Here is a 12,025-nt window from a genome sequence, read left to right as displayed (position 1 = left end):
AAAACATAAGCTTCATATAGAACCACAGATGATGCCAAATAGCCAAAGCAACCCTGAACAAAAAGAACATAGCTGGAGGCACCACACTACCTAAGAAAACAGCATGGTATTGGCATAAAAATAGACACACAGACCAATGGAACAGAATAGAGAACCCAGAGATAAATCCACATATTTATAGTCAATTGATTTTTCACAAAGTCACCAAGAACATTCTGTGGGGGAAAGGACAGTCTCTTCAATAAATGGTGCTGAGAAACTGGTTATCCTTAAAAAAAAAAAGAAAGAAAGAAAGAAAAGAAAAGAAAAAAGGAACTAGACCCCCATTTCTCACTATAAACAAAAATAAAATCAAAATGGATTAAAGACTCAATTCTAAGACCTGAAACTGTGAAACTACTAGAAGAAAACATTGGGGAAACATTCTAAGAGATTAATCTGGGCCAAGATTTTTTTGTATGTAAGACCTGAAAACACTGACAACAAAAGTAAAAGTAGACAAGTGGGATCACATCAAACTAAAAAGCTTCTGCACAACAAAAGAAACAATCAATGGAGTAAAGAGACAATCTACAGAAGGGGAAAAAATATTTGCAAATTATCCATCCAACAAGGGATTAAAAACCAGAATATATAGAAATTCAAACAACTCAATGGCCAAAGAACCCCCATATAATACCAATTAAAAATGCGCAAATAAACTGAATAGATTTTTCTCAAAAGAAAACATTTAAAATCAATAATTTTAAAAAATGCCCACAGGCATATGAAAAAATACTCATCATCACTATTAGGGAAATGCATATCAAAAGCATAATGAGACATCATCTCACCCCAGTTAAAATGGCTATTATTGAAAAGACAAAAATAACATGCTGACAAGGACACAAAGGGAATGCTTGTGGGAATGTAAATTAGTACAGGCACTATGGAGAACAGTATGGAGGGTCCTCAAAAAACTATATAGATCTACTGTATGCTCCAGCAATCTCACTGCTAGGTATATATCCAAAAGAAAGGAACTCAGTATATCAAAGTGATATCTGCAAGCCTATGTTTATTACAGCATTATTCACAAGAGCCAAAATATGGAATCAACCAAAGTGTCCATTAATGGATTAATAAATAATTAATATACATAGAATGTTATTCAGACATAAAAAGGAATGGAATCTTGTCATTGGCAGCAGTATGAATGGAACTGGAAGTCATTATGTTAAGTGAAATAAGCCAGGCACAGAAAGAAAAATATCATATGGTTTCACTCACATGTGAGAGTTAATAAAGTCTATCTCATGGAGATAGAGAGTAGAATGATGGTTACCAGAGGCTCGGAAAGGTGAAGACAAGGATAAACAGAGGTTGGTTAGTGGGTACAAAAATACAGTTAAATAAATTTAATAAGTTCTAGTGTTCAATAGCACAGTAGGATGACTATAGTTAACAACAATTTATTGTATATTTCAAAATAGCTAAAAGAGAAGATTTGAAATGTTCTTAACCCCCCAAAAAGGACAAATGTTTGAGGTAATGTATATCCTAATTATCCAGACTTGATCACAACACATTGTATGCTGGTATCAAAATATCACGTGTAAGTCATAAATATGTATATTGTATATCAATAATTTTTTAAAATATAGTTATAATTTTAACTTAATTTTCTTCCTTAATATTGTCTATTTGAGATTTTTCTATTTTTCTTCTCAGCCCTTGTTAAAGATTGGCCTATTCTATTGGTCTATTTTGTTAGTTTTCAAAGAAACAAATTTTTAGTTTTGTTGATTTTCTAATGTTTCCTCATTATCTATTACATTAACTTCTATTCATCCATATTATTTTCTTTCTCTGCTTTAAGATGTTATTGTTTTTCTAGTACCTCAAAATGAACCTTTCACTCATTTATCTTCAATTTTTTTTAAATAACATTTTGAGGTTATAAATTTCCCTATAATGAGCTGGACACAGTGGCATATGCCTGCAGTACTAGGTACTGGGGAAGCTGAGGCAGGAGAATCACTTGAGCCCCTGAGTTCGAGGCTGTAGTGCACCATGTTTGCACCTGTGAATGACCACTACACTCCAGCCTGAGAAACAAAGCGAGACTCCATCTCTAAAATAAAGTTAATCAATTAATTAATTAATTAAATTTCCTATTCTCCTTTAAGACATTTCCTTGGAAGTACCAAAACTGCTATTTTATTTATTATTTATTATTTTTTATCTTCATAACAGTATTCAATTTTTTAATGTTCAATTATAAATATTTTGTAATCTCATTATAGTTGCCTTTTAACATGTAAGTTATTTGGCATGTGCTTTGAAATTTAGGTCTAAACTTATTTTAAAGTAATTTTTATTTATTTATATTTTCATATTATAATCATAATATGTTCATTTAAAAAGTGAATTCTTTGAAATCTGTTATTGCCTTTGTCCTAGTAAGAGGTAAATTTCTGTAAATGTTTCAAATGTACCTTAAATATGACCACTCACTTTGCATTTTTGGATTGTAGGATTCTATGTATTCACTATTAGAATAGGTATGTCTATTATGTATTTACAGATTTCATACCCTTACTGAATTTTTTCTGCTTGATTACAGATTCATAAAATCTCCCACTAAAATAGACTTGTCAACTTCTACTACTTCTGTTATGTTTTATACATACACACACACACACGCACACACACACATACATAGTGAAGATATGTTATTACATGCATACAAATTCAGAATTGTTTATCTTCCAGGTGAACTGAACATTTTCTCATAATTTACCAAGTCCCTTTATCTCTAGGAGTACATTTTGCCTTAAAGTGTATTATTTCTGATATTGATGATCCAGATTTTTGTTATAATTACTACTTAGCTAGCATCTTTTTTTCTATCTCTTTATTTTCCATATGGTTTTTAGACAATTTGTTATAATCAGCATATGGCGTTTTAAAAAAATCTAATCTGATAATCTGTTTCTTATTAGGTGGATATAATGCTTTGCTTTTGTTATTACTGATATACTGAGATTTATTTCTACTTCATATTTTCTGTTTTGGGTTGATCAATCACTTTCTTTCACTTCTCCTTCTCTGCTTTCTACTAGATAAAGTTTTCTATGTTCCCTGGTTTTCCCACTGATGATGTGGAAACTATAGATTGTATTTATTAATTAAATGGTACCCTTAACATTTTAGGATACATAACTCACTACAAATTTATCTAATAAAGTCAGATTCAGTGTATCTATCCTCCTAACATGACATGGATCTCAGCATACTTAAACTACTGATTGAATACTCTCTCAGCAACTATTGTCTAGAGTTTTAGCTTTAATCTTCAAAAAAAAATTTTCCAAATGTACAAACATCTAAAACAGACTTGTTATCTTTATAGTCAAAGGTTAATCAAATTTCCTGACATTTTATCTATTTTTTTGTTCACTACTGTTTCTCATATTCCACACTTTCCTTCTGTTTTCACTTTTCTTTCTGCTGAAATATATATATAACATATATATATGTCTGTTAATAATACATTTGCTAAATTCTACAGACAATAAGCTGTTTTCGTGTGCCTGAAAATTATTTTACTCTTGAATGACATTGTGTTTGGGTATAAAATTCTAGGTAGAATTATATTCCTTCAACACTTGAAAAATATTTCCCCCACTATCTTTTGGCTTACCTATCTAGCTAAGAGTGTCTGCTGTCAGACTATTCTTTTGTAGTTTGTCTTCTCTGTAGTTTTTAAGGTTATTTCATCCTTGATGTTGTGTAGTTTCACTATCATGTTTTGAGGTCTAGATTTATTTTTATTTACCCTGCTTATTAGCTGAAGTAAAAATTCATGGGTTTCTTCAATTCTGGAAAATTCTCAGGATTAAGTTTTTACACTATCTCCTCCATTCTTTCTTGGACTTCCTATTGTGTAATGTTTAGTCTTCTCAATCTTTTCTATCTCTAAGCTGGTCTCTCATTTTATTTTTCTGTCTCTCTTGTATTGTGTTCTGGGATAGTTCCTCAATATTATCTTCTATTTCACCAATTTATTCATCAACTGTATCCAGTCTACAGTTTTTCTTATTTATTGGTTTTTTAAAAATGTCAATGACCAGTCTAATTTATTCTTTTTTATAATCTATTAGATTTGTTTCATTTCTTCCTGGCATTGTTTTATCATTCTTTTAAAAGCTGTATCTTCATTTATCTCTTTGAATGTTTTTAGCGTACTTATTTAAATGTCTTTGTCTTAATTGCTCTGTAAAAAGATTTTCATTTGGAAAGAATCCCTGCTCTAACTGTTAATTTTGTTGGCTGACTTTCTTAGCATTAGACTTTTTTCTTCTGTTTTAGAATTAAGTTTGCTCATTTTGAGTGGAAAATTTCTGTTTTTCTCTATCCTCACACCACTCTGACAGGGTTTTGTAGTTCGTTCCACCTAGTCCTCTGAGCTCCATTACCAGAAACAGGTTTCATAATCACATTTGGAGATTGTTATCCTCTGGGTATATTGGAGATATGCTAGATCCCTTCAAGGAGTCAACGGATATCAAGGTTCTACAGACCCTATGCCCACACCTTCTAAAACACAGTAGCCTCAGTCAATATGTAAATGTCTATTTCTTCCAATCTCTTTTATTAATTGGCTATTTCTTCCAGTCTCCTTTTATTATTTATCCCCACCTCTATCAACCCTCTCTCCCTTTCCCCACTACCCCTCAACAACATGCATTCTCTAGCTTCAAATAGAAAATATGACTCAGGTTCACTGAATCAGAACATTTAAACTATTAAAACTATTAAAAGTTCTGATTATATTATTATAACTTTCCCTGAAAGTTATGATTATTTCCCTAAAAGTTTCCCTAAAAGTTCTCATTATATTATTATACCTTTCCCTGAAAGTTCTGATTATTTCCCTAAAAGTTTCCCTAAAAGTTCTCATTATATTATTATACCTTTCCCTGAAAGTACCAAGATCCTTACCAATATCACCTTCTTTTGAACTCAGATCCAATGGCTTCAGCTCCACTAAGCCCACTGTTTTGTGTTTATAGTCCAGTTCTTCTCTTTAGAGATGTTTATCTTATATTTGATTCTGGCCATGTCTGGGTTTTACCTTTTAATACTTTATCCATTGTTCCTATTTGTTTGGCACAGAAGGGGTTTTAAAAACACAAATTCACTATGCTATGTTTTACTAAAAAACTATTCTAGATTTAAAAAGAAATTCTAAAATATAAAATATCCTGAACCCCTTCAAAGTTCTACAAGGCAATGTGACCTCTACTTTCAATGAGGAAACTGAAGTTACAAGAAAGTTAAGTGTAGTGTTATTAGTTACATAGCTAATAAGTGATAAGGAAGTCAGGAATATAATACTGATATGCTGATTCCTAGACAGGTGCTCAATTTACTATAGAACTTATTAATTACTGGAAAATTTTTTCTAGCTTTTACTCAGATTCTCATTTAGTACAACCAAGCTGAGTTTTCTCCATGTTCTCTTGGCCATTCAAAAAATCAGATTTTCCAATATTACTTCCCAAGTCAAGAATAACACTAAATAACTGGAAATTCAAAGTATCTTTGCTGGTCCCTAATTAACCCATAGTTTACCAATTCTCTGCCTCTCAGTCTTGGCTTCTCCCTTCTTTAGTTCTATTATTAGGCTAAAGCTAGTCAGTCTTTCCTAGCTGCTTACTTTTTTCATTATTAATAAACATAGTGAGATTAATTTTAAATATACAGAAAATTCCATTCTCCCCAGGTAATACCAACCTGCATGCCTTTATTAAAAAGTATTTGCTGAGCATCTATTATGTGTCAAGTACCATGTGCTAAGTGCAAGAATTCAATGATAAGCAAAAACAAACAAGGTCCTTGTTCTCATGGAACATTATACTCTAGAGAAAGAGAGCAAATCACACAAATTAATGTAAATTTACAACTGTCAAACAATTGATATAAAGAAGACATATCTGATATTCTAAAGGTCTGTAAAAGATAGGAGCTTGTGGTGAAGCTTCTTAGCTTCAGAAAGGTGAAGACTTTCTAGAGGAAGTAACTTTGAACTATAATCTAAAGGAGAAAAAATTATGTGAAAAGAAGAAAGTGTTTCTGGCTGAATGGACAGCATGTATAAGGGTCCTGATGTGAGTGAAAGTATTTGAATATAGTGGCAAAAAGAAAGCACATGTTGTTAGAAAAGAAAAATCAAGACGATTATGTTAAGGTGTTTTGCCTCTATATTAAAAGAAATTACAAGCTATTAAAAAGTATAAAGCAGAAGAGATGACAAATTGTATTAGAATTGTGAAAAAAATCAATATGGCTACAGTGTACATAATGGATCAAAAATGGGCTTGACTACATAAAGGGGTGAACCAGTTAGGTCATTGTAGTAGGTAAGGCAAGAAATAATAGGTTGAACTACTGTGATAGTGGTGGAGATGCAGAGAAGCAGATGACTTTGAGAAATATAGAGGAGGCAAAACAAATAGGACTTGATGAAGGAGTGGCTACACTGTAAAGAGGAAGAACTTCAGCCATTGAAAATAATTAGACTTATGATTTGCATAATTAGATGTATGCTACCTTCACTAAGAGGTAACACAGTGAGCCAAAGATTGATTATGAGTTGGTTTTGGACAAAGTAAATTTGAAGGTGATGAGATGATGGGAGATGATGTTAAACATGTGTCTAAAGCCTAGAGGTTTGAATCAGAGATATAAATTTGCAAGTTACCTACACATAAGTATTGACTGCAACAGAAACATGGAGGAAGTTATTTAGGGAGAAATTGTAGAATGAAAAGAAAAAAAGAACCCAAAAGTAAGCCTTGAGAAACTCCAACTTTAATGACTGAGCAGAGGATCATATAAACTTGAAAAGGAGTGAGAGGAAAGATTATCTAGAGAGATGGGAGAAAAACCAAGAAGGCATTATGTCACAGATTCAAAAGAAAACCATAATTCAATAAAAATGTAATTATTAATAGTATCAAATGCATAAAATAGGAATCTTTTTCTTTATCCAAATATTAGGTCACAATCAATATGGCTCCACTATAAATTCTTACTTTTCCAATTGCCTGTGTTTATGTATACTTACTTAAAGTATTCATCAGAAGGCCACTGTTGTCTCGAAATCTATTATGACTGGCATCTATATCAGGAATCCTGTACTGTGTCATGGTAGGATGTCCTGAGACACAATTCCCTGTATCAGAAGTAGAGGATTTGCAATCTTCATCTTCTGAGTCACTAGAACTATCCTCACTACTTGAAGATGATGAACTTTTGGAATCTGATGAACTATCACAACTACTCATCTGGTCCATTAGACTAGCTTCTGCCTTCAGTTCTGAAAATAAGACAGAAATGAATAGATAGGTTAAATAAAAAATGCTAAATAAATATAATAAAAATTGAATGTATTAGTTTTTAAGAAACTGTTGAAACTAAAATCAAACATACATTTACAGTACTTGAAGCATTTTATTAAAAAACAAAACTCTTCTACCATCAAGCCATACTTCAATGATTGGATTACAGAAACTAAAAGGGATAGACAAGGTCTAAATCTAAACTCCACATTTATTTAAACCATTGTACTTAAGTATACAGGTAACTCAAATATAAAGTAAATACTGTGAAAAACTATAAAAATTAAAATCTATTTTGGCAGAAACTGTCTTCTGATTATTTTTTGTTCCTTTAAATACATATAATATAATGTGATAATGTAACAGATGAACTTCATTCTTTTCCTGGTTTTCCTAGAGAACATTTTGATGAAGCATCTATAGGTTTCCCCCCTGCTCCCTTAATAAGGATTTAAAATATTCTAAGTATTTTTGAAGAGCCAGTTCCCATTATAACTTTGGCTATAAATATTTCTGTAGATAAAAAGAATAATAATGATGTCTTCTTTTGTTTAGCATTTTTCAAGTTCTAGATACACAAAAAAATTATAGTTGGGAAGGTCTTCAGCTACCATTTAGAACAACTTCATAATTTTATAAATGAGGGAATGAAGATCCAGAAATGTCAAAAGCTGTCAGTTATTTATGAGTGGAGGCAAATCTACTGACTTTTAAGTCAATATTTTCCCATATGATACAAATGTCAAATAGTTGAACAAAATTTTTTAAACCAAAAAATGCTAAGTGAATAATACACTCAGTTAACACATTGACATTTGATATCATCTTAGTACACTGCTACATTAAGTTAACTGGTAATTTTTAGCCCACTTCCTCATTCTCCCTATTATAGACACACTGGCTTTCTATTATTTGACCACATTAAATCCATTTCCAGGCTATGTTCTTCGTACTAGCTGTTTCCTCTGCCTGGTATATTCTTCACCCAGATCTTTTGTTTGTTTGTTTAATACATAATTTCCATAAAGTAAAATGTACAGCTAGATAAATTTTAGCATGTATAAAACCTGTATATCTACCACTGAGATCAATATATAGAATATTTCCATTCCCATGAATATTCTCCTATGCTCTTTTCCAGTCACTAATCACCATTTTGACTTTTATTACCAAAGATTTTTGTCTATTCGTCTATTCTTGAACTTCATACAAATAGATTCACTCAGCATGTACTTTTTGGTCTGCCTTCTTTCAACATAATGTTTTTATATTTACTCATGTTATTGAATTAATCTGTAGCCTATTCTTCTCTACTGCTATGATATTATATTATATTATATTATATAAATATACCACAAGTTAGTTACCCATTTTCTACTTATGGATATTTGGGTTGTTTTCAGTTTTTGATATTATTAATAAAGTTGTTATGAAAATCCCTTTACAAGTCTTTTTGAACTTATATACACATTTCTCTTAGGTAGAAAGAGAGAAATTGCCAAGTCACAATAGGCATAGGTTTAATTTCATTAAAAACTCCCAGTTTTCAAACTGATTTTACACTCCAACCAGCAAGGTATGAGTCACAGATGCTTCATATCTTCCCTCACTAGGGCACACACACACTTGGTATAGTGAGTCTGAAGGGTGTACAATGGTATCTTCTTGTAGTTTTAATTTTCATTTCTTTGATGTGATAATATGAAGCAGTGTTTTTTTATATGCTTACTGGCCATTTGAATATCTTTTTTGAAAAGCCTGTTCAAATCTTTTGTCCATTTTTATATTTGTTTGTCTTTTTCTTACTGATTTGTAAGAGTTCTTTATAGCTAATTCTTCTGGCTATGAGCCCTTTGTCACACTTTTGGCATTTGTGAATATTTTTTCCAGGTTCCCCCAAGTCTGTAGCTAGGCTTTTCATTTCATTAATGGTGTCTCTTGAGAAGATTCTAGATCTCTGAAAGGCTGGCTCCTTCTTGAATCGGTTTAAGTGTAACCTTCTCAAAAGTTTCCTTCTTCTCCATTCTCCAACCCCCATTGCTTAGTTTAATTCTCTTCAAGACACTTATTTCTGAAATTCATTTGGATACTTATTTGTTTACTGCTTGTATCTTCCCTACCCTCCCTCTCACCCTCATCCATACTCCTAAATAAAATGTGAGAATAGCAATGTTGTCTTGTTCATGTTGCATAATTATTGTTATACAATGTTGGATTCAATTTGCTAATATTTCATTGATAATTTTTGAGTTTAAGTTCATCAGAGATATTGGTTCATAGTTTTCCTTTTCTTGTACTGTCTTTATCTGGTTTGGGTATTAGGGGTAATACTGGCCTCATAAATGAGCTTAGAAATATTCCTTCCTTTTCCTTTTTCCAGAAGAGATTGTGTAATGTTGGTGTTAATTCTCTTTAAATGTTTGGTAGACTTCTTGGTCTGGCTATTTTTGGGGTGGGTGCTTTTTAATTACTAATTTAATTTATTTAATATTGATAGCACTATTCAAGTTGCTTACTTCGCCTTAGTTGAGTTTTGGCAGTTTTTAGCTTTTGAGGAACTAGTCCATTTCCTCTAAACTGTCAAATTTATGAGCACAAAGCTATCATATTTCTTTTCTCTTCTTTTTAGATAGGGTCTTACTCTGTCACCCAGGCTGGAGTGCAGTGGCACAATTATGGCTCACTGCAGCCTCAACCTCTTGGGCTCAAGCAATCCACTCACCTCAGCCTCCTGAGTAGCTGGGACTACTCAGGTGCACACCACCACGCCTGACTGCCTGAGTAATCTAAAAAAAAAATTTTTTTTTTTGTAGAGACTCTGTATTGCCTAGGCTGGTCTCAAACTCCCGGGCTCAAGCAACCCTCTTGCCTTGGCCTCCGAAAGTGTTGGGATTACAGGTGTGAACCACCACACCCAGCCTACCATTTCTTTATAATACTTTTAATGGCTACTGGATCTATAGTAAATTCATTACTTTCCTGATTATAGATAGAAGTTGTACTTTACATTCCTGATATTCGTAATTTGTGCCTTCTGTCTTTTCATTTTTATCAATCTTACTAGAAGTTTATCAACAGTGTTCTCCGATGACTGCCTTTTTGTTTCATTAATTTTCTCTACTGTTTTCAATTTCATTGATATCACTTCTTATTTTCATTATTTGTCTCTTTTTGCTTGCTTTGGGTTTAATCTGCTTTTCTTTTCCTAGTTTCCTAAAAAAGGGACTTAAATTAATTAATATGATAACTTTCCTCACTTCTAATGTAAGCATTTAGTGCCATAAATTTCCCTCTTAGAACTTCTTCAGTTGCATTACACATATTTTGGCATGCTATGTTTACTTAATACATTTAGCTGCATGTATTTTTAATTTCCTTTGATGATTCTTCTTTAACCCATGGATCTTTTAGAAATGTGTTTAATTTTCAAGTGTTTAGAGATATCTCCTGTTGTCTGTTATTGATTTTTAGTTTGAATCCATTATGGTCAGATACATAGTCTGCATGACTTCAGTCTCTATAAATCTATTGAGATTTGTTTTATGGCCCAGGATATGGTCTATCTTAGTAAATATTCCATGGGCACTTGAAACAAAATGTGTATTCTGCTGTTGTGTGGCATGTTACATATCTGTCAATTACATCGTGTGGGTTGATTGTGTTACTCAGATCTCCTATGTATGTGTCGATTTTCTGTCTAGTAGTTCTATTAGTTGCTGAGAGCAGAGTGTTGAAATACCCAGGCATAATTGTGGATTTGCAGATTTCTCTTTTCAGTTCTAGCAGTTTTTGCTTCACGTTTTTCTCAGTTCAGTTCAGTTGTTAGATGTATACACACTTATGTCTTTCTGGTAAATCAATACTTTAATCATTGTTAATGTACCTCTTTGTAGTAATTTATTTATTTATTTATTTTTGAGATGGAGTCTCACTCTGTCACCCAAGCTGCAGTGCAGTGGCGTGATCTCAGCTCACTGCAACCTCCGCCTCCCAAGTTCAAGCGATTCTCCTGCCTCAGCTTCCTGAGTGGCTGGGATTAAGGTGCGTGCCACCGTGCTTGGCTAATTTTTGTATTTTTAGTAGGGATGGGGTTTCACCACGTTGGCCAGGCTGGTCACGAACTCCTGACCTCAAGTGATCTGCCTGCCTCGGCCTCCCAAAGTGCTGGGATTGCAGGCGTGAGCCACTGCGCCTGGCCTATTTTGCTCTTAAGTCATCTTTATCTGATATTAATATGGTCACATGTTTGTGCTTTTTAAAATTAATGTTTAAATGGTATATATTTTCTATTCTTTTACTTTCAAGCTACATATTTCATTAATTTCTTATAAACAGCATATAGTTGGGTGTACTTTTTATACAGCCTGCCAATATCTGCAGTTTAATTGGCTTATTTAGACAATATATGTTTAAAGTAATTATTGATATATGTTAGGGCTTAAGTGTGTCAATTTGTTATTTGTTTTCTGTTTGCTTCCTCTGTATTTCATTTCTCTGTTTTGCTTGTCTTGCCTTTCTGTGGGTTACTTGAAACATTTTAGAATGCCATCTCAATTAATTTATAAAGTTTTAAAAGGTGTCATTTTGTTTATTTTTCTTAGTGGTTGGTTTGGGTTTTTCAATATACATACCTGACT

General features: G+C 32.5%; 1 protein-coding gene across 7 annotated transcripts in view; it reads right to left on the bottom strand.

The window, feature by feature from the left end:
• The window catches only part of EAF2 (ELL associated factor 2), a 51,318-nt gene that overhangs the window by 6,624 nt on the left and 32,669 nt on the right, over nucleotides 1–12,025 (bottom strand). For 6 of the 7 annotated variants that reach the window (XM_047448576.1, XM_017006861.2, XM_047448577.1 and 3 more), the window contains one exon: nucleotides 7,115–7,366. In XM_047448576.1, coding sequence (XP_047304532.1) covers nucleotides 7,115–7,366 — 252 coding nt within the window. Of the gene's footprint in view, nucleotides 1–6,836; nucleotides 6,915–7,114; nucleotides 7,367–12,025 lie in introns of those variants that run through there. The other variant, XM_017006863.2, reaches the window with a different exon arrangement.

The sequence above is a fragment of the Homo sapiens genome, chromosome 3 (assembly GCF_000001405.40).
Source record: "Homo sapiens chromosome 3, GRCh38.p14 Primary Assembly".
In the NCBI taxonomy this organism is placed as follows: domain Eukaryota; kingdom Metazoa; phylum Chordata; class Mammalia; order Primates; family Hominidae; genus Homo; species Homo sapiens.
Note: the sequence above shows the minus strand (reverse complement) of the source record. Positions and strands in the feature narration are given on the sequence as shown.